We start from the raw sequence: 22962 nt of genomic DNA on the forward strand, positions 1-22962 counted from the left end.
ATGACTCCACCCTTCCCCATGGCCCAGGCTGTTCTGACCTACGGCTCAACACCTCCTTGAATGGCAAGAGGATGCTGGTGAGGACCACCCCCAGGGATCAGAGGGAAATTTCTCCGCCCCCAACCTGCTGAGTCACCTACTGTGGAGATTCTTCCTGATTTCAGAAGAAAAAAGGAAAGTGCTCACGACTGAACTTCATCACCTATGCCTTGGCTTCTGTACCAGGCTCCACTCTGTCCTCCCTTCTCCCTGGCCAATCCCTTCCAAAGCATTCTGTAGTTTGTTTAGTTACATTGGACAAACTGTATGAGCTCCCCCCAATGTGCCAGGCATGGAACTAGGGGACAGGGTTGCAAAGTTTTACAGGAATGAGTTCCAAGTCCCAGTCTTTCAGCCCACAGGCTGGTGGGGAAGGTGTGGCTGTCATCAGGTAACAGCATCACAGTGCAGTGTATGGGTCTTTATATGGGGTGCACTGAGGACACCTAGGATGGACGCTTAGTCCAGTCTGGGGCCAGAAACCTTCCCAGAGGAGATGCTCCCTGAGATTGTCTTGAGGGGCCGATGAGATTCATGCAGCCATAGTGCAGGGAGGGAAAAGCATTCCAGGCAGAGGTAACAGCCCAGCTGCAGGCATCAGGGCAGGGAGCAGCATGGGTCTTAGGGCTCTACAGGCATGGGTTCCTCCAGCCCGGAGTGTGACTCAGGAATGGGCTGTGCCCTTCCTGAAAGCAGATATGTTCCACTGAGGAACTGTAACTTTACTGTGTGAGTGATGGGGCTCACTGAGAGGTGTCAAGAAGGGGAAGGTGGGGTGAAGAGAGGTGGGCACCCAGGTGGGAGCTAGTGCAGGGCTGGGGAGGGGTGCCAAGGCCTTGGCCCACGTTGGGGCAGTGGAAGAGGAGGGGCAAAGATGGATGGGGTAGATCTGAGGGCACCTGCGATTGGTAGGGGTGGGGATGAGGGAGGGAGAAAGGGCTGCTTCCAGGTTTCTGGCCTGGTTGTCACTGCCCATTAACACAGAGAGGGGAAACTGTCTAAGGAAGAACCATGGTGCTGGAGGATTAGCAAAGATGACTTTGTTCTGGGAAGTGTTGGAGGTAAGGTGTCTGGAATGCCTGGATCGTGTTCCACTCATTAGGAGGTGGTCTGACCCAGGTGGCGATGCTAAGCAGGTGTTCTGGCTTGCTCGTCTGAGCCCTGAGGAGAGGCCTGGGTGGTGGGCATGGTGTTGTCAGCAGACCCACAGCAGCTGGCATGGTGAGAATGGATGATACCACCCAGGTCATATACAGAAAAGTGCAGTGGACTGAGGTGGCTGAATGGTCAGAGAAGGGGGAGGAGAAACGAGGAGCATGTGGACAATGCCACAGGAGGGTTTGAAGAACAAAAGAGAAATGTATAGCGTTCCACACTCCAGGTCCAGAGAGACAAAGGCTGGAAGGAGTGCCATGCGCTGGGAAACAGGGTGGACATGGTGTCCCTCGCCAGTGCAGTTTCAGTGGAGTAGGAGGAGGAAAGGAACAACACAGTGGGGTAAACTCCATAAATGGATACAGGGAATTTGTACCCCAGGAGGCAGCAGGAGGGGGGATGAGATAAAAATGACAGAGTCAAAATACTGGAGTCAAATAGGTGAGGTCCGCATCACCTCTGTTCAAACCCAGCCACATGTTCATCCTGGACTGAACCCTAAGCTCCTCAATCCAGGCCTCAGTGGTCCCAGGAACTGGTCCAAGCAGGCAGTTGGAACTTTCTGGAGAGAGATCGCCCTCTACTTCCCCATAAGCCTCCATCCCGGCAGATTAGCCTGAGCACGGACCACTCCCCTGCCTCTCCACCTCTGCTGCTCATCCTGGAACCCCCTTCCCAGCCTTCTTTGTCCCTCCAAGTCCTGTGAACCCTTCAAGGTTGAGACCCTGCCTCATTTCCTTTGGGAGGTCCTGTCTGTCTACTCCAGCTAAAACCATCTCAACCCCTCGCACCCTCAGTAATGGTGGGCCCATCCCACTTTTTTCTTCCCCACACAATTGAGATGTCTCCCCAGTCAGACCAGCCTCTTCAATGCTGGATACTGAATCTTGTGTTTTCTTTTTTTTACAGTCCCCAGACTGCCTAGCCTCTGTCCCAGCATGGGACTTCGTTGGCCATGGAGGGGAATCTCAAAGTTAGGCAGTAAGGCCCTGGGACTGCTTTCCAGGGCCTCACACACAAAGTTCGGTCTCCTGAACTCACCACATCTCCACTGTCTTCCCCAGCACCAAGTTCAGAGAGCAGGAGAGAAGGGGCAGGTCCAGGCCTTGCCCCCAGTGGCTGGAGAGCCTGACACATACAGTCCAGGTTTTGCTGCAACGGAGGAAAGGGCAGGTGCTTCCCGTCTTCAAGGGGCAATGCCAGAGCTTGTTTGTGGGAAGCAGCAGACACTACGATGGATGTTTTGTGCACATAATCTCATTTAACCTTCACAATCTGAATTGTTCTTATTCTTAAATGCCTGCTGTGAGAGTGAATTCTCAGGGCTTGGCCGGCTCTTAGTTGCAGACCGCAGAAGCAGCATTAGCTGGTAGTTAAGACAGGAAAGACTTTATGAGAGACGTGAGCGAGCTCCAGGCTCTATGAAAGATGGGGGCACAGGCTCTGGGGTCATCTTGCAGGAATGACTTTTTGAGCCTGATGGAACTGGCCTGGTCAGGAGCCTGGCTGCGAGACCCTGGCCCCACGTAGCCTCCGCTGCAATCCAAGTCCTGTGCCTGTGTGCCCTGCAGCCTCGGAGGCTGGGAAACAGCTTTTTTTGTGTGTTTTGCTTTTTTTGTTTTGTTTTAAATTCTACATTGGGAAAGTGGATTTACAATAGAGAAACCATAAAAATGTGGAGAGAACATTCCTAGGGGTTTGGGTAGCCTTGCACGACTGTCCTATCTGTGCTGTACCTCAGGCAAACACAAAACGTTTTCAGATTTGCCAGCGAAGGAAACTAAAGCTCAGAGAGGCAAACTTACAGCTGGGTTGGGGGCAGCTGGGATCCAGGACTATGAAGTGAAGGTTCCACTCTTTTCACGTGGCTTTGAGGATTAGGCTCTCAAAGCGGAAAAGTGTCGGTGGCTTTGACAGAAACAGGGAAGCGGGGGGCGGCTCCTGTGGGGATGGAGATGGTTCACATTTAAAGATATCAAAGGCGCTGTTGGGATTCCGGTGGCCACATCCGACAAGCAGTTGGACGTTGAGATTTGGAGCCATTCAGCCTGTCTTCCTGGCCTTGGAGAGAAGTTCTGAACAAAATGCCTCTATGAATTTAGTCTCAAGATCTCTACATGTTTCTCAACACACATGCACACACACGTACACATGCAGGCACACACATTAGCACACAAAGGTACACAGACACACGGTGACACATGCATACACAGGGACACACATGGACACATGCACATACATGCACACACATTGACATGCACTGACACACACACCTGACACACATGTGCACCCACACGCACAAACACACACACACAAGTAACATCGACAGCCTGTGGCTGTAGAAGTGCTTCCAAGGGCCTTTCTTTCTTGTCCTTGCCTGGAGTTTACAGCACTTGAAAAATGTCAGTCGTGGGAGGCCTTTTGGTCTTGGGTTAGGGTAAACTCCCTCCACATATTTGGAAAGCATCCAGGCCCTGCAAGCCGCTCACAAAGCAGATAACAGTGACCTTGCTGCTGAGGGAGGACGGCCCCGCGGAAGCCAAGGAGCTGCGCTGGCAGAGCTGAGGTTACCCCTCCTCCCTGCTGCAGAACCTGGGTCAACTCTGATGTCAAAGACCACAACCCCCTCCCCACCGCCCCCTTCCCGTTGGACTCCCGGCCTTCTTTGTGCCAGAAACACAATGCTCAGCTCTCAGGGAGGAGGTGAGGGCAGAGCACTGCTCTGCAGGCCCAGGTGGAGAACAGCCCAGCTCTCCCTTAGGGGCTGCAGGCTGAGGGTCCGACTCCAACCCCCTTGCCTTTTTGCAGGCCCGAAGGAGCTTCTCCAGGATGATGACAGATTTTCCAAGACTCATCCCAGGCTGGAGGAGCCCCGGCTGCAATTGGACTGGTGTGTGTATGTGTGGGTGTCCACAGGTTGAGCTGACCCTGAAAGTCCTGGTGCTAGAGGGCTGTGGAGGTCATGTCATCCCAATGGAACGCCCTCTGTTGGCATTCCCTTCAAGAGGTCATCCTGACCCATTCAGGGAGATCACTACTGCCAGGGGCACTACTCCAGGTTTTCGCCTCTCTGTTGCTTCCACTTGCTGGCCCTAATTGCACCTCTTGAGCTACTCAGATTAGGAGTAACCCTTCCACATGACAGCCTTTCACATATGTGAAAACAGCTGCAATCATACATTCAGCTACATCTAGCTTTGAAGCCCTCCCCGGTCAGCCAGCTCCCTCTCTTTGGCCCCCATTTGCAAGTTAGGGAAAGTTCAAGTCTGATTGGGTGCCAGGCCTGGTGCTGGCAGCTGGGGACAGACACATGGTTTGCTACAAGTAGTTGGTGGCCTAGTGGAGGAGGCAGACAGCAGGTCCTGGTCAGCATGCTGAGCCTGGGGGAGGGGACAGCAAGCCTGCAGGAAGACATGCAGGAGTTACTCAGCTGGGGACCTGGGGGCCTTAAGGTGCTCCGGACAGAAGGGACAGGATGCGCAGAGGCTGGGGGTGCAGCACAGTGGCCCTGACCTGCAGGTGGTTCAGAATGTGTGGGTCTCAAGCAAGCCTACTGGCTATGCACCCAAAGGAAAATATTTCATTCTACCAAAAAGACACCTGCACTTGTACGTTCATTGCAGCATGATTCACAATTGCAAAGATATGGAATCAACTTAGGTGCCCATTAGCAGTGGACTGAATAAAGAAAATGTGGTATATGTACACCATGGAATACTATGGAGCCATAAAAAGGAAGGAAATCACATCCTTTGCAGCAACATGGGGATGCAGCTGGAGGCCATTATCCTAAGCCAATTAATGCAGGAACAGAAAGCCAAATACTACATGTTCTCACTTGTAAGTGAGATAAACCTTGGGTACACATGGATATAAAGATGAGAACAACAGATACTGGAGACTTCAAAAGAAACGAGAGGGTGAGAGGGGCAAGGGCTGAAAGCTTTCTATATGCTACTATGTTCACTGTCTGGGTGATGGGATCCATAGAAGCCCAAACCTCAGCATCGTCCAATATACCTTTGTAACAAACCTGCACATGTATCCCCAAACCTAAAATTATAATTAAGTGAAAAAGAAAATATGGGTTGCAAACAGATGCAGGGCATGCAGGGCATCAGGACATTGCCTTATCCTGAGGACTATGGCAGGGGTGGGAGAGTGGCAGCATTCTGAAGAGTTTTCAGCAGGAGGTGCAGGATTAGGTGCGAGTTTACCTGGAGAACGGGTTTCGTGGCTATCCAGTGCTGTGGGCAGAGAGTCTGGCATGGGGGGCTGCAGATGCTCAGGCGAGAGGTGGTGGTGCCTAAGTTGTGAGTTGTGGCAGTGGCCACGAGGGTAGGGAGCTGTAGGTGGAGATGGGCAGACCGAGACCTCTCTCCTGTGGCCGTGGAGCTCCAGAGTCCACACAGATGTCTACAGATCTAGCTCAAAGCCCTCCCCAGTCAGTCAGCTCCCTCTCTTTGGCCCCCATTTGCAAGGAAGAGAAAGTTCAAGTGTGGTGCTCAGGATGGAAGCAGACTTCTAGGTGATATCTGACAGTGTGGACTATTTCGGCACTTTGTTTTCCTCCTTCTGGTCTCTATCTTCTCTGCCACCAAGGTTGACACTAGAGGCCTGGTAGCCACAGAGCACAGTCCAGTTGGCTCCTACAGAATTTGCAGTGTCTCCTGAAGACCCCAAACCTCCTCCATGCTGGCTGTTTCAAGCCCACACTCCCTCTGCCCCGATTGTGGAACTCAGCAGTTGGTGTCTAGTGCTTACTAACAGGAACCCACATTTATTATTACTATTATATTATCCACATGAGATTCAATTTTCTTAGATTCAAGGTCTCCCACCTGCACCGCTTTCTCCTTTAAAGCAGGAGACATGGCTCAGAAGCCTCAAGGCTTGGCCTCTGGATTGATTTGTGACTTTCAATCTTAGCTCCATCTGCTTATAAAAACATAAATCATGCCCTTTTTCACTCCAAAAAGTTTGAAAAAAGGATTTTATATTTTGCAAAAGTTTTCCCTAGAAGTTGCTGCCTGGGATATTTTTCATTCCATCTTAAAGGGATAACACTGCTAGTTGTGTGGAGCAGTGAGACAGCTGGGGCCGGCTCTGTCCACCTTCCGGCAGCCCCCAGGGGTACCTCGGGCTGCCTCTTGGGGCCCACTGGGCAAACTCAGGGAAAGACAGAGGCTGCCTGGCCCATTCTCCTGAAGTACATCCACCTGGGCCTGCGCAGCTGCCAGCTGGCTTGAGGCATGGTGGACCTGCTCTTTTCTGGGACCTCTAAAAGACCATGTGAGTGCGATAGGAGTGTGTATGTGAAGTGGGGGTCAGGTTATTAGGGGTGGAGGGAAGGGAGCTCTTTGATTAATGGGTGTCCTGTGAACCTGCAAATTTGCCCAAGGCTGCATTCCTGGGCTTTCAAACCCGAGCAGTTTGATAAGCTGGGACCAAAGTCTTCTTTCTGCCCAGCAAGTAAAGCAAACAGGGCCACTCACTAACCCCAGCCCTGGCCTCTGGTGCCATCTCTCGGCCACCAGCTAGCCAAGTGGCCTTTCACAGGCTAATCAGTGAGCATCCCTGGGACCTCTGGGAGGCCTAATCAGCTTGCCTCAGCGAGGCAGGAGGGAGGCCAGGCTCACCCGAACTCCAGCATGCAGTCTGAAGGCCTGTGCTTAGCCAACTAGGCCCTCCCTGATGGCAGCACCTGCAGTCTTTCCCACTCCTTCCTGCAATCATTCCCACCAGGGCAGCTTATCAGCTGGGCCTTCTCCATTCCTCCAGTGCCTGCCTAGAATGCTCTTTCCAACTTCCACAGCCTTCAGGCTCCTTCCCTAATCTCCCTCCCCCAGGAAGCCTTCCCTGACCAGCCTCCATGGGATGCCCCCTTCCCTGCATCCCTACTACCCCAGAGCCCTGGATTATGGTTTAGCACCAGATACTTCTTCAGTCTGTTCCTGTGTGTTGGTTTGGTATCGCCAACTAGATTGTAAGCACCTTGAGGGTAGGGCTTCAACTTTGAGATTATCCCCAGTGGGGAGTGGTAACTTTGGGAGTATAATGTTGGCGAGGGGTGGGCTTGTAGGAACAGGGGACAGATCCAGGGGTAGAGGCAGGCAGCTCTGAGGCTGGGGACCTCAATCCCAATAAGATGTGGAGGGGAGGCTCTGGGAGATGAAAGGCAGCCATAGAGTCAGGACTGGGGAAATGTTTATTTCTGGGGAGTCGTAGTAGGTACCTGTGGGGCATGGGGGTGTGGGCCCAGCCTGTCTCCATCCTCCACTCTAGTCTCTGAGAACTTCTTCTCTCCTTGGTGGGGCCCAAGCGATGGAACTGCATCTGTGTCTGCACCACTGGCTCCTTGTTCTTGACTACAGAAGATTTGGGTTGGGATGGACCCTGGAGGGCCCTCCAGATGCCCTTCTCTGGAGACTTGGGCTTAGGACTGAGACACACATCTCCATCTCCGGGTGTTTGCCTCTGACAAGATGCAACCAGCTATGGGCTGTCTGCAGCGGGGAGCAGTGGGAACCAGACTGCGAGACAGAAGGAGGAGGCAGAGGTGCACAGAGGAGCTGAGACCAGGAGCTCATAGCCCAGCTCGCAGATGCTTTTGCTTCATATATCATCTAAACCAGCCCTCACTGCCCTCCTGAGAGGTAGGTACTGTTAAGATCCTTTTTTTATAAATGGGGAGAATCGGGCTTAGAGAAGTTAAGTAATTTGCCAAAACACGCACAGCAGGTAAGAGGCAGACTTGAACCCCGTCCTGCTGAGTTACAGAGTCCAAGTGTAACCTTTCTCCTACCTTTGCTCCCAGCAGCTTTGTAGATCCAGGCCCTGGTCTCTCATGAGAACTTTCTCTACATCTCACACTTCAGTTCCACAAGATACCAGAAGAACTGTGACCAACACTACTGTAACAAGGTTTTATTTGTCTATCTATCTATCTATCTATCTATCATCTATCCATTCATTTATTCACCCATTAATCGATCTATACATCTAATCTATTTATCCATCCATCCATCCATCCATTTATCCATCCATCTATCCATCCATTTATCCATCCATCCATCTATCCATCCATTTATCCATCCACCCATCCATCCATTTATCCATCCATTCATCCATCCATCCATCATCTATCCATCCACCTATCCATCCATCCATTCATTCATCCATCCATCATCTATCAATCCTTCCATCCATCCATCATCCATTCATCCATCCATCCATCCATCCATCCATCCATATCTACCTATATAGCTAGCTAGCGAGCAACAATCACTTATTGAGCCCTGCTGTGCACAAAACACTGCAACAGGTGCTGTGATGTTCTCAATCCTGCCTACTGGCACAGATGATGAGGGATGGCAGATGACTGCTTGTCAAACTATGTGGTATAGACAGACAAGCCAGTGTATCAAAGTTCCCATGTAGAAATTATTGCAATTGTAGATTCCTTGACCCTTCCCAAGGATTCTAATTCAGAACAGGAGAGGAGCTCAGGAATCCACTTTTCCAACAAATTCTTCAAAAGAGTCTGATGTAGGTGATCCACAGAGCACACCTTGTAAAACAGCTGTCTGGAGAGTGTTATTCAAAGGGATAGAAGGTCAGTGAGACCTGAGACAGTCAGGGAAGGCCACCTAGGGTCAAGGCCAGGCACTCTCATGTCCCCTAGCAGGACCTGGAAAACCCTGGGAAAGAGTGGTGGGGTGAGGGGAGAGAGACCCAGGTCGTGGGCAGCCTGGGCAAGGGCCCCAGGGTCTTCTCATGGTGGTGAGGGGCAGCCGCCAGGGCAGAGGGCAATCTGTAGGAAGCTAGGTGAGCAGAAAAAGGCCATGGTCAGCTTTTGCTCAGTAACCAGGATGTCACAAATGCAACAGCCAAAAAGTGCTCTGCCCACTTAGCCTCTGTGGAATTGGATGCCCTTCCACACGCATTTCTAGGGACTAAAGGGACCTTCCATGGCGAAGAGGAAGGAACTTGTGTCTAATGCCTGGTCCAGAACTAAAAAATAAAAAAAAACTTAGTGCAATTAGGGTTTCAGTGGGGATGAGAATGGTTGGAAACCCTAGAAAGCTTGGGCTGAACGAGGACTGATGGATCATCACCTCATCATCATCAGCAGCAGCATCATCATCATTATCGATTATCAATGTCATCATCATTGTCAATGATTATTAATATCATTATCATTGTCAATGATTGTCAATGTCATCATCATTATCAATGATTATCAATGTCATCATTATCAATGTCATCATTATCAATAATGATCAATGTCATCATCATTTGCTGTGGCCCACAGGCCACGTGCTTTCCAGCCATGCTCTTTTGCCTCCTCACAGCAGTGCCATTCTGCATATGGGAAGCTAGAAGAGCGAGGCATCCCACGGCTGTCCAGACAGTAAGGAATGAGTGTCACCCGCTCTCAGGCTGTCTCCTGGCACAGCCCCCAAACCGCTCCAAGGGATAGAGATTTACCTGCTTATTACCGAGGAGATTCCCCAGCTTCCTCACAACACATTGCTCTGTTCAACTCACCCCAGGACTCTCTAGGCCTGGATGTGATGCCAGGGGGTGCCCAGTGCAAGGGCACCCATGCTTGGATGGTTCTGGGGTCAATTTTCCTTCAGAGCAGCCCTTACCCAGTGACGTCTCTGAATCAACTCCCACCTCACCCCAGCCAGCCCCACCTCATCTGGCCTTCCCCAACCTCCCTCACCATCTTCAGCAAAACCCTACCTCCTGCCTCACCTCCCCAGCCTGCCCTGGGAGGCCACTCTTTCCCACTCCTTCCTTACTAGTGTGCATGAAAAGAAAAGGAATTTCTTTTGCAGTTTATCCTCTGAACAGCCTCTGAAAAAAGTTGAAGGACACGCTGCAAAGTGTGAAAAAAACAGGGCCTGAGCTTGCCAAGAGGGTCCAAGTGGTTACTTTAATCATGTGGAACAGCCCCCTTTTCATGGAAAATTTTCTACTCCAACACCTGTGGCCATTAAAGGTGCCCTCGGCTCTTTCCTACCCGGGATCCCAGGGGTCACTCTCCAACTGAGGCTGGCTGCCAGCTCTGGTCATTACTCTGTGCCCCTCCTCTGTGCCTTCCTCAGCCCTTCCCAGCCCAGCCCTGCTTTGCCCCAGGCCTGCTGGGTGCAGGCATGCAGTCCTTCCTGGCTTCCCTTGCCTCTCTGCAGTTTCTGAAATGAACACTTCAGTGAGACGAGGTTCCCTCCTGTTGCACTGGTTGCTCTCTGAGGCTTCTTGGGACAGGCCTGTCTCTGTCCCCCTGCCACCTCTGACTCTCTGCTTCCTCCAGAGTCTTCCTTAGGCAGGCTCACTTCCCCGGACCCTGGAGATGCTCCAGTGCCTTCCATCCCCCAGGCTGAAGTGCCCTGTGCCTCCTCTCAACTCAGAGACAGGGAAGCCCTGGAGAAACAGCCCCACCAGCCCTTTTTTGATCTGCTGTTCCTCTGCATGCCCAGTTTTCGTTTTCAGATTGTGTATGCTGCTTTGGGTTTGCAATTGATCATCAGTGTGCTTGGGATAGTGTGCAGCCCCCTCCCCACCATTCTTTGGTGAAAAACTGGGATGCAGAGGAGTGAAGAGATTTCCCTAAAGTTCCGCAGTGTCTGCCAAGACAGGGAAGGACTGGGCATAGACTGTGTAAGCCAGACCTCCTGAAGGACTTGCCCCAGCTTTCTCTCCCCATCTCCTTACTTGCTCCATGGTCCACCCAACCTTGCCTCCTCCATCACACTGCAGACACAGCTCTTACTCAGGCCACTAGTGACCTGTGTCTCTAAATCCCATAGACATTTTCTCTCCTCATCTTGCCTTCTTGACAGCATTGGACACTTGCTTCCCTCCGCTGCTCAGGACATTCTCTTCGTCTGCTTCTGTGCATCCTCCTGCTCCTTGTTTTCCTGACCACACAGGCCAGTTCTTTGTGGGAGGCCTGTTCTCCAGCACTTGAAAGCTGGCGCTCCTCTGGGATCAGGTCTGGGTTCTCTTCCCATTCTCAACTTTCTTCCTTTGCAAGCTCACCCTGACCCACTGCTTCTACCACCATCCACATGTCTCCAGCCCTGCGCTCTCCTGGGTGCTCCATCTGCCTCCTTTCTGATATCATTTGGATGCCACAAAGACGCCTCAAAAATAATTTGCCTAGAACTGAATCCATGATCTTTCTCAAGACTCCAATGTTGCACAAGGCCACAATCATCATTGAACAAAGTGGGGCCCTACTCTTTACCCCAAACTTGGTCCCCTTGGTACTTCTGAACCCACTGAATAGGACCAACCAAACAGGGCTGCAGGCTGGAAATCACAGAGTCATTCTCAATGCCTCCTTCTCTCTGTCCCCCTGCCAGATGCAATCCGTCCCCTGGTCCCCTGTCCTGTGCGAGCTGCTATCACCTCCACACTTCAATGTTACCACATGATATAGCAGGTGGTGAAAGTGGAAATGAGGACCAGGGACAGATGGAGACTGACTACTGAGATGGTGATTTTCTAGTTCCCAATCTAGAATTTGGACTACATCCCTGTAGGAAAGTGTGTCTAGGAAATTGCATCCAGTTAGGAAAATAAACATGGTAGTCAGTGCATCCATACCCAAGCCAGGTGACACAGACTATACCACATTGCTTGGTATGGAAGGTGGCATCCAGCCATGGATGGTGTTGACCTTTTGTGTCCAGAGCTTTGTTTTCCTGTAAGGCCATTTAAATATGCAGGAGCAATTCAAAATATTGAAAGCCATTCCTAAGTCAAGGGGAAAAAAACAGGCACTTTCAAAATAATATGATTCCCCTGATATTATTCAAGTGTGAAGCAGACTACCAGAGGGTGGCCCACACAGCTCATTTGTTTCTATACTGCCCACAGTACCCAACAGAATGCTTAGCACGCAGCAGCTTCCTACAAGTATCTTGAGTAAGTGAACGTGTGCCTTCTAAAATATACGGGACTCACTGGTCAAGTGCTGGAAAACATCAAGCATGATTCAATGATAATCAGAAGAGGCACTAAAGGTGACCCAATCTCTAAATGTCTCCTTGGCCCAGACTTTTCTTTCTGCCAATTTAGTTCTTGCTAAAACAATACTTTTACTAATGACCCAGGAAGGAGTGGGCAGAGCTGGGCAGCTAAAGAGGTGGTGACAGTGGGAGGGGAGCTCCCTACAGCCATGTCACTGGTACCTGGGCCCTCCATCTGGGCATCCCAAGTTTCAAGGTGAGCTTACTAAAAAGCCTCAGGTCTCATTCCAAGTAGGAAATGGAATTTGGAACGCTCTTGACTCCATTTTGCAGAAGAGTAAAGCAAGACCTAAAGGGAAGATGTGGCCAGGCATGGTGGCTCATGCCTGTAATCCTAGTATTTTTGGAGGCTGAGGTGGGTGGATCACCTGAGATCAGGAGTTCAAGACCAGCCTGGTCAACATGGTGAAACCCCATCTCTACTAAAAATACAAAAATCAGCTGAGTGTGGTGGCAGGCACCTGTAATCCCAGCTACTCAGGGGGCTAAGGCAGGAGAATCACTTGAACACTGGAGGCAGAGGTTGCAGTGAGCTGAGATTGTGTCATTGCACTCCAGTCTGGGCAAAAAGAGTGGAACTCTGTCTCAAAAAAAAAGAAAGAAAAGAAGAAGAAGAAGAAGAAGGAAGGAAATTCTGACCCATGCTATAACATGGATGAACTTGAGGACATTATGCTAAGTAAAATAAGCCAGCCACAAAAGGACAAATACTGCATGCTTCCACTTATAGGAAGTCCCTAGAGGAGTCAAATCCAAAAACAGAGTCGAGGTTGCCAGGGTCTGGGGGAAGGGGAATGTGGCTGCTGTTGCCAAAGGACCATAGGTTCCTTTCTCCTCCCGTGGCCTCACCAAGACTACAGCAGTCTCTCCCCTAATCCCCTTTGTCTTCTTCTCCTCCCAGTCCAGCCCCCATGTTGCTGTCAGAAAGGTTTTTCTAAAATGTAGCTCTGGGCACATTAATCTGCAGTGAAAATCTGTCAGTGGCACAGTAATGCCTGTAAGATGAAGCCAAACTCTTTGACCTGGCCTGAAAGGACCCCTCATCTTCTCCCACCACTCCCCTCACACTCATCTGTACACATACAGTCACTCCCCTCACAGACCCCACAGGCGCTCACTCCAACTCAAACACACAAGCACATATTCACTCTCCTATATTAACAGTCTTTTCTTTTTTTTGAGACAGTCTCACTCTGTCCCCCAGGGTGAAGTGCAGTGGCGTGATCTCCATTCACTGTAACCTCCACCTCCCAGGTTCAAGTGATTTTCCTGCCTCAGCCTAGTGAGTAGCTAGGATTACAAGCATGTGACATCATGCCCAGCTAATTTTTTTTTTGTATTTTTAGTAGAGACGGGGTTTCACCATTTTGGTCAGGCTGGTCTCGAACTGCTGACCTCAGATGATCCGCCCGCCTCGGCCTCCCAAAGTGCTGGGATTACAGGTGTGAGCCACAAAACCCCTACCTCCCTACCTCCCTTCTTTCTTTCTTTCTTTCCTTCCTTCCTTCCCTCTTTCCTTCCTCTCACTCTGTTGCCCCTCCCTCCCTTTCTTCCTTCCTTCCTCTCACTTTATTGCCCCTCCCTCCCTCTCTCCCTCCCTCCCTTCCTTCCTTCCTTCCTCTCACTCTATTTCCCTCCCTCCCTCCCTCTCTCTCACTCTATTGCCCAGGCTAAACAGCAGTGGAAAGAACATGGGTCCCCTACAGCCTCTACATCCTGGGCTCAAGCAATTGTCCCACATGAGCCTCCAGAGTGGCTGGGATAACAGGTGGGTGCCACCATGCCCGGATAATTAAATTTTTTTTCTTTTTTTTTTTTGTAGACTCAGGGTCTCACTATGTTGCCCAGCCTGGTCTCAAAGTCCTAGGCTGAAGCAACCCTTCTGCCTCAGACTCCCAAAGTGCTGGGATTACTGGCATGGGCTGCTGTACCTGGACCACATAATCTCACTCACATACACACTGGCTCTACTCACTCGAGCCATGCTGAGCTACTGAGTTCCCTGTGACTAAACTATTCTAGCTTCTGTGACTTTCCTGTGTTCTTGTGACATCTCTCATCTAAAGAAAGTAGCCTTATCTTAACCGCATGCTAGCACAGGCATGGCACACACTGGTCCGTTCAGTATGGAATACAAAATGGTTATGTGCAGGGACAACAACTAGAATGCCATGACCAGTCATCTCATTCTAACCTTTTTTTTTTTTTTTTTTGAGGTGGAGTCTCGCTCTTGTTTGTCCAGGCTGGAGTGCAACGCGCGATCTCAGCTCACCGCAACCTACGCCTCCCAGGTTCAAGCGATTCTCCTCAGCCTCCTGAGTAGTTGGGATTACAGGCATGCACCACCACGCCTGGCTAATTATGTGTATTTAGTAGAGATGGAGTTTCACCATGTTGGTCAGGCTAGTCTCGGACTCCCGGCCTCAGGTGATCTGCCTGTCTCAGCCTCCCAAAGTGCTGGGATTATAGGCTTGAGCCCCTGCACCCGGCCAAGGAGTTGTTTTCGGTCACACAGAGGATCAAAGTCAGCCTGGGGACTCGTGGCTAGCTGTCTCACCATCTCACACGGAGCTGTTTGTCCATCTCAATTATATGAGTAACACACACTGCTTTTTTTTTTTTTTTTTGAGACAAGGTCTCACTCTGCTGCCCAGGCTGGAGTGCAGCAATGCTATCATAGCTCACCGCAGCCTCAATCTGTAGGGCTCAAGTGATCCTCCCTCCTCAGCCTCCTGAGTAGCTGGGACTACAGGTGTGCACCACCACGCCCAGCTAATTTTTGTATTGTAGAGATGGGGTTTCCCAGTGTTGCCCAGGCTGGTCTTGAATGCCTTAGCTCAAGCGATCCCACCTCAGCCTCCCAAAGTGCTGGCAGCCATTAGCCACTGTCCCTAGCCTAAGATTTCTACAGGTTTTTTTTTTGTTTGTTTGTTTTTGAGATGGAGTCTCCCTCTGTCAACCAGGCTGGAGTGCAGTGGCTCGATATCGGCTCACCTGGGACCTCCGCCTCCCAGGTTCATGCCATTCTCCTGTCTCAGCCTCCTCAGTAGCTGGGACTACAGGTGCCCACCACCACGCCCAGCTAATTTTCTTGTTGTTGTTGTATTTTTAGTAGAGACGGGGTTTCACCGTGTTAGCCAGGATTGTCTTGATCTCCTGATCTCGTGATCCACCTGCCTCGGACTCCCAAAGTGCTGGGATTACAGGCTTGAGCCACCGTACCCAGCCTGTTTTGTTGTTGTTGTTTTTGTTTGTTTTTTCTTTGTTTTTGTTTTTTTTTAAGACAGAGTTTCATAATTGTTGCCCAGGCTGGAGTGCAATGGTGTGATATCTTGGCTCACTGCAACCTCCACCTCCCGGATTCAAGCGATTCTCCTGCCTCAGCCTCCCGAGTAGCTGGGACTATAGGCATGAGCCACCATACCCAGCTAATTTTTGTATTTTTACTAGAGATGGGATTTCGCCATGTTAGTCAGGCTGGTCTCGAACTCCTGACCTCACATGATCCAGCAGCCTTGGCCTCCAAAGTGCTGGGATTACAGGCGTGAGCTGCCGCACCTGGGCCTTTTTTTTTTTTTTTAACACATTTAGCTTTAGTCCATCTGAGCTTTATTTCTGTGGATGATGTGAAGTATACATGTAGATGGGACTCCCCACTATCACCCCGACAACACACACATTAATAGCCAATGGTTCCAGGACCATATATTAAAAAGCCCAGACCTCGAGCAATGGCTCATCCTGTAATCCCAGAACTCTGGGAGGCTGAGGCCGGAGGAATGTCTGAGCCCAGGAGTTGGAGATCAGCCTACGTACTAGGCAACATAGCAAGATCCTGTCTCTACAAATAATTAAAAAATTTAGGCCAGGTATGGTGGCTCATCCCTGTAATCCCAGCAGTTTGGGAGGCTGAGGTGGGCGGATCATTTGGGGTCAGGAGTTAGAGACCAGTCTGGCCAATATGGTGAAAACCCATCTCTACAAAAAATACAAAAAGTAGCCAGGAGTGGTGGTGTGGGCCTGTAATCCCAGGTAATCTCAGGAGGCTGAGGCAGGAGAATCGCTTGAACCCAGGAGGCGGAGGCTGCAGTGGGCCAAGATCATGCCACTGCACTCCAGCCTGGGTGACAGAGCGAGACTCTGTCTCAAACAAAACAAAACAAAAACAACAAATTTAGTCAGGCATGGTGGTGCACACCTGTAGTCCCAGGTACTCAGGCGGCTGAGGCAGAGGAATGCTTGAGCCCAGGGAAGTCGAGGCTGCTGTGAGCTATGATCACACCACTGCACTCCAGCCTGGACGACAGGGCGAGACCCTGTCTCAAACAAACGTAAGTCCAGACCCACAGACGCATTCATCAGGGGGATCCTGGGGGCAATGGAAAGAGTCACGAGACCTAGGCTGTGCTTCCAACGACGCCACTCAGTACCTTGGGCCTTGGGGGCTCATTAACACCGGGCTCGCCTCCATTACCTCCTCCGGGAAGTGGTTGGAATCGAGGTCTGAAAGCACGGAGTTCACGGAAAGGCCAGGGGCGCCAACCGGGATGGGCGCGGTGGGCCCGGGTTCACGCCTCCAGGAGCAAGGCACAGACCAGAGTGGTGGGGACCTGCGCTCGCCCAGGCCCCGAGGCCCGCTCCCCGCTCCCTCTGCCGCGCCGGGCAAGGCCTCACCTCGCAAAGCCCCACGAAGAGGATCTTGGCCTTCAGCATCTTTGTCCGCCGCGGCGCAGCCGCCGGAGCCCACCGGAGCCGGCGCGTTAGGGCGGAGCCCTCCTTGGCCGCTTTCGTTTCCATGGCGACGGCGAGCGGCCCGCAGGGGCAGATGGGACTCGGCCACTTTCGGCACGCTGGGCTGAAAGTGGGCGCGTCTGCGACTGGGAGGGGGTCGGAGAGAAGCCACAAAGCCCGGGCTGCAGAGGCGGTTCTGCAGGGTTGGCCTCCATTTCTTTTAGAGACAGGGTCTCACTCTGTCACCCAGGCTGGAGTGCAGTGGCGCGATCTCGGCTCACTGCAGCCCCAACTTCTGGGCTCAAACGATCCTTCTGCCTCAGCCTCCCGAATAGCTGGCACTACAGGCACGCGCCATCACGCCCGACTAATTTTTTAAAATTTGTTATTTGTAAGACTGGGTTTTGCTATGTTGCACAGGCTGTTTTCCAACTCCTGGGCTGAAACGATCCTCCCACCTCCACCTCCCAAAATTCTGGGACTGCAGGCACTCTCCATCAGTCTCGGTAGAGACGTGGAAAGCAAGACTCCAGGAGGGGGCAGAATGGCCATTTCCAAATCTTTGTTCCTCCCAATAATCCCGAGAGTTCAGACAGGCCATACAGGTGTCAAGCTGGCCTTGGAACCAGGCCTTGACTCCTTTATCACTGTGGCATGATACCACTGTGGCCGTCCACTTGGGAGCCGATGACCCAGTTTAGAAAAAGTCAGGTAAAAGTCTGGTTTCTGTAAAAGGATTCACCACTCACTATCATTCCTATCATCTAGGAGAAACCAAAGAGATGATGACTGGAATCGTTTAGTCAGTGCAGGTGTCTAGAAACATTGCTGCTAAATTCCATCAGTTAGGTCAGTCTGAAAATACAGAGTGAAGCCAGAGTTTTGCATAAGGCCATGATATTAAATGTCTACATGCTGAGAGTGCCGGTACAAAATATGCTAGCCCACAAAAGGGCTGGCATGATAAAAATTCCTCGTCAACCCACTACCAAAACTTTAACCTTTGGTAACGTAGTTATATAGTCTTTGTATTGAAAAGAACTGCTTGGCTGGCCACGGCGTCCCACACCTGTAATCCCAGCACTTTGGGAGGCTGAGGCAGGTGGGAAGCTTGAGGTCAGGAGTTCAAGGCCAGCCTGGCCAACATGGTGAAACCCCATCTCTACTAAAAATACAAAAATTAGTCGGGTGCAGTGGCATGCACCTGTAATTCCAGTTACTCAGGAGACTGTGGCAGGAGAATTGCTTGAACCTGGGAGGCAGAGATTGCAGTGAGCCGAGATGGCGCCACTGCACTCCAGCTTGGGTGACAGAGCAAGACTCCATCTCAAAATAAATAAATAAATAAATAAAAATAAATAACTGCTGAGTGAACAGTAAGGAAGCATTCTCAATTTCAAGATGTCATTGTGGATTGATTAAATAAATATTTTTTGTTTTTGTTTGTTTAGAGAGAGAGTCTCACTCTATCACCCAGGCTGGAGTGCAGTGATGCAAATCTCAGCTCACTGCAACCTCCGCCTCCTGGGTTCAAGCGATTCTCATGCTTTAGCCTCCTGAGTAGCTGGGATCAGCCTCCTGAGTAGCTGGGATCACAGTTGTGCCTGGCTTATTTATTTATTTATTTATTTATTTATTTATTTATTTATTTGGTACAGCAGTTTCACCATGTTGCCCAGGCTGGTCTCTAACTCCTGGTCTTAAATAATCCACCTGCCTCAGTCTCCCAAAGTGCTGGGATTCATGAGCAACTGCTCCCGTGCTAAATGGAGTAATTTTTTAAATTTTTTTTTTTGAGACTGAGTTTCACTCTGTCACCTAGGCTGGAGTGCAATGGCATGGTCTCAGCTCACTGCAGCCTTGACCTTCTGGGCTCAGGCGATCCTCCTACCTCAGTCTCCCAAGTGACTGGGACTACAGGCACACACCACCATCCCTGGATAATTTTTGTATTTTTGTTAGAGATGGGGTTTTGCCATGTTGGCAAGGCTGCTCTTGAACTCCTGGGCTCAAGTGATCTGCGCGCCTCTGCCTCCCAAAGTGCTGGGATTACAGGCGTGAGCCACCACGCCCAGCCTACTGTGCTCTTTGCCTGGCCTACTGTGTTTTTTTTGTTTTGTTTTGTTTTGTTTTGTTTTTGAGAGGGAGTCTCACTCTGTCACCCAGGCATGAGTGCAATGGCGCCATCTCGGCTCACTGCAACCTCCCCCTCTCTGCTTCATGTGATTCTCCTGCCTCTGCCTCCCGAGTAGCTGGGACTACAGGCATGCACCAACACACCAAGCTAACTTTTGTATTTTCAGTAGAGATGGGGTTTCAACATATTGGCCAGGACGGTCTGGATCTCCTGACCTCGTGATCTGCCCACCTTGGCCTCCTAAAGTGCTGGGATTACAGGCATGAGTCACCGCACCCAGCCACTATTTCATTTTCAACTGCCTTTCGTGGAAGAACATTTAGCCTTAGGTCTTTTTCTTGATTTATGACAGCTCATGGCTTTCAAGAAAACTACCTGTAGATAGGCTGTGTGACTTTTTTTTTTTGAGATGGAGTCTCACTCTGTCATCCAGGCTGGGGTGCAGTGGCGCAATCTCGGTTCACTGCAACCTCCACTTCCCGGGTTCCAGCAATTTTCCTGCCTCAGCCTCTGAAGTAGCTGGGATTACAAGTGCCCATCGCCACACCTGGCTAATTTTTGCCTTTTCTTTTTAGTAGAGATGGGATTTCACCATGTTGGCCATGGTGGTCCTGAACTCTTGGCTTCAGGTGATCTGCTCACCTCAGCTTCCCAAAGTTTTGGGATTATGGGCATGAGTCACTGCACCTGGCCTGTTAATGTTACTTTCAAGCAAACCTTCAAAAGTTTATTCCAAGGCCTTGCTCTCATAGCAGCAAAGCCTGTCTGTTGCACAGTGGGGCTCTTGGTAGCATCTTCCTTTTGGTGGATGCTGTGCAGAGCCAGGGCACTAAGGCATGTTAACCTTGAGGACATCGGACCTGGCTGGCCTGACTGTGGGGTCTCCCTCCCAGGACATGGTGAGCCATAGCCGGGGCAGTGCCTTTCAAAGCTGCTCTCATGGAGCACTTAGCCCTAATCCAGCCCTTCAGGGAGGAGGTGCAGAGACTCATGGCAGAGCACCCCCTACACCTGATGCCCGGCATAAGGTAAGAGAAGCCCCGGCTCCAGGTGTATTTCAGCACCAGTGTTGGGGGGCGCATCCTTGTGAGAGCATCTAACTATTCCTTTAGAGCGCCCTCTGGGTGGTTCATTTATTTTCATTTTTATTCTTTAATTTTATTATTTTAAAAATATTTATTTATTTGTTTATTTATTTATTTATTTTTTGAGGCAGAGTCTCACTGTGTCACCCAGACTGGAGTGAAATTGTGCGATCTCGGCTCACTGCAGCTTCCACCTCCTGGGTTCAAGTGATTCTCCTGATTCAGCCTCCCAAGTAGTCGGGATTTCAGGCGCCCACCACCATGCCAGGCTAGTTTTTGTATTTTTAGTAGAGACAGGGTTTCACCATGTGGGTCAGGCTGGTCTTGAACTCCTGACCTCAGGTGATCTGCCCGCCTTGGCCTCCCAAAGTGCCGGGATCACAGGCATGAGCCACTGTGCCTGGCAAAATTTTATTTATTTTATTGAGATGAAGTCTCAGGCTGGAGTGCAGTGGTGCAATCTCAGCTCACTGCAACTTCTGCCTCCCAGGTTTGCATGATTCTCCTGCCTCAGCCTCTGGAGTAGCTGGGATTACAGGTGCCCACCACCACACACAGCTAATTTTTGTATTTTTAGTAGAGATGGGTTTTGCCATGTTGGCCAGGCTGGTCTCGAACTCTTGACCTTAAGTGATCCGCCTGCCTCAGCCTCCCAAAGTGCTGAGATTGCAGGTGTGAGCCACTGCACCTGGCTTATTAATTTTTTTTTTAGCATCAGAGTCTCATTCTGTTGCCCAGATTGGAGTACAGTGGTATAATCATGGCTCACTGCAGCCTCAAACTCCTGGGGTCAAGTGACCCTCCTACCTTATCCTCCTTTGTAGTGGGGACTACAGGTGCATGCCACCATGCCCAGCTAATTAAAAACATTTTTTGAGAGACAGGATCTCGCTTTGTCACCCAGGCTGGAGTGCAGAGGCGTGAACACAGCTCACTGCAGTGTCAACTTTCTGGGTTCAAGGGATCCTCCTGTCTCAGCTTCCTAAGTAGCTAGGACTACAGATGTAGGCCACCATGCCTAATTTAAAAAAAAAAATTTTATAGACACAGGGTCTCACTATGTTGCCCAGGCTGGTCTTGAACTTGCAGGCTCAAGTGATCAATTTTCCCACCTCTGCCTCCCAAAGTGTTGGAATTATAGGTTTGAGTCACTATACCCAGCGTTTAAAAACTTTTTTGCAGAGATGAGGTCTTCCTATGTTGCCCAGGCTATTCTCAAGCTACTGGCCCCAAGTGATTTTCTACCTTGGCCTCCCAAAGTGCTGGAATTAAAGGCATGGCCTTATGGTTCTTTTGGCACTTACACATCATCTTGTCTGGCCGGTTTTCTGGTCCTGTCTGTTTCTGCCTTTCCTCTTTCTCCAGCGAAAACCTAAACTTTCCTTGTTTGTCCTCATCTTATGTTTTTCTGGGTCCATGGGCAGAGTAGGGTTCTGGAATGGTTTCCTAAAGGAGCCAACCCTACCCATTGATTTCTAAGTGCATTTAGAAAAACACATATAAGGCCCGGCGTGGTGGCTCATGCCTGTAATCCTAGCACTCTGGGAGGTCGAGGTGGGTGGATCACGAGGTCAGGAGTTTGAGACTAGCCTGACCAACATGGTGAAACACTGCCTCTATGCAAAATACAAAAATCAGGCCAGGCACAGTGGTTCATGCCTGTAATCACAGCACTTTGGGAGGCCGAGGCGGGTGGATCACCTGAGGTCAGGAGTTTGAGACCAGGCTGGCCAACACAGTGAAACCCTGTCTCTACTAAAAATACAAAAACAGTAGCCAGGCATGGTGGCGGGCACCTGTAGTCTGAGCTACCTGGAAGGCTAAGGGAGAAGAATCGTTGGAACCCGGGAGGCAGAGGTTGCGGTCAGCAAAGATCATACCACTGCACTCCAGCCTGGGTGACACAGCGAGACTCCATCTCTAAAACAAAAAACAAAAATTAGCCGGGCATTGTGGTGCATGCCTGTAATCCAAGCTACTCAGGAGGCTGAGGCAGAAGAATCACTTGAACCTGGGAGGCGGAGGTTGCAGTGAGCCAAGATTGCGCCATTGCACTTCAGCCTGGGTGACAGAGGGAGACTTTATCTAAAAAAAAAAAAAAAAAGAAAAGAAAAGAAAAGAAAGAAAGAAAAAGAAAAACATATATAAAACATTAACTGCCCAGGCAATATACCTTGTCAAATATACCTCAGGCAAATGCATTCAGGAGAAGAAAATATATCCTAATTTCCTCTTCGTGTTTCTTTTTTTTTCCTTTTGTATTACTCAATGTTTGATATTTTGTATTTTATTTTTTCAGGGAGCTGGTAAGTCTCCTACAGGAGCTAAATGTTCTGGTTTTCCTAACACCTGGTTGCTTTAGGAGTATTGTAGAGCATGTTGCTTCAAAGCTCAATATCCCAGCAACCAATGTATTTGCCAATAAGCAGAAATTCTACTTTAACGGTAAGATGTTAATGGTAACACATTCCCTTTCTTAGCAGTTCTGTTATTCAGTATTCTGGGTAGTGTCTGTTGTTATGAAACTTAAACAGTCACATCACAGTTAAATATTGAGATAAATGGTTATCTTAATTGATGTCCTTTGCCCTGTGGTACCCTTTGCTCAGCAAAATAGACTTAGGTCATCATCTGTCCTAGCTTTATTATCTATAACATCACCTGTCTGTACATAAATGTCTGCATTTAGTGAAACATTAATTCCTACGTAGCCCCTATGACTTACTTTCCTATATGTTATATTTCAACTTTATGGGAGCTTCTATGCATT

At 50.1% G+C, this 22962-nt stretch overlaps 1 pseudogene, besides 1 other annotated feature; it reads left to right on the forward strand.

Annotated features, from left to right (window-relative positions):
- Positions 16632-16783: a silencer, noted in NCBI's record as "fragment chr7:62514452-62514603 (GRCh37/hg19 assembly coordinates)". NCBI's record gives its function as "represses an EF-1alpha promoter that drives an FKBP-Casp9 reporter gene in an ReSE screen in HepG2 liver carcinoma cells {active_cell/tissue: HepG2}" and the evidence as "EXISTENCE:reporter gene assay evidence [ECO:0000049][PMID:32094911]".
- Positions 19971-20881, forward strand: LOC100419991 (phosphoserine phosphatase pseudogene; annotated as a pseudogene).

The sequence above is a fragment of the Homo sapiens genome, chromosome 7, assembly GCF_000001405.40.
Source record: "Homo sapiens chromosome 7, GRCh38.p14 Primary Assembly".
NCBI classification, from domain to species: Eukaryota; Metazoa; Chordata; class Mammalia; order Primates; family Hominidae; genus Homo; species Homo sapiens.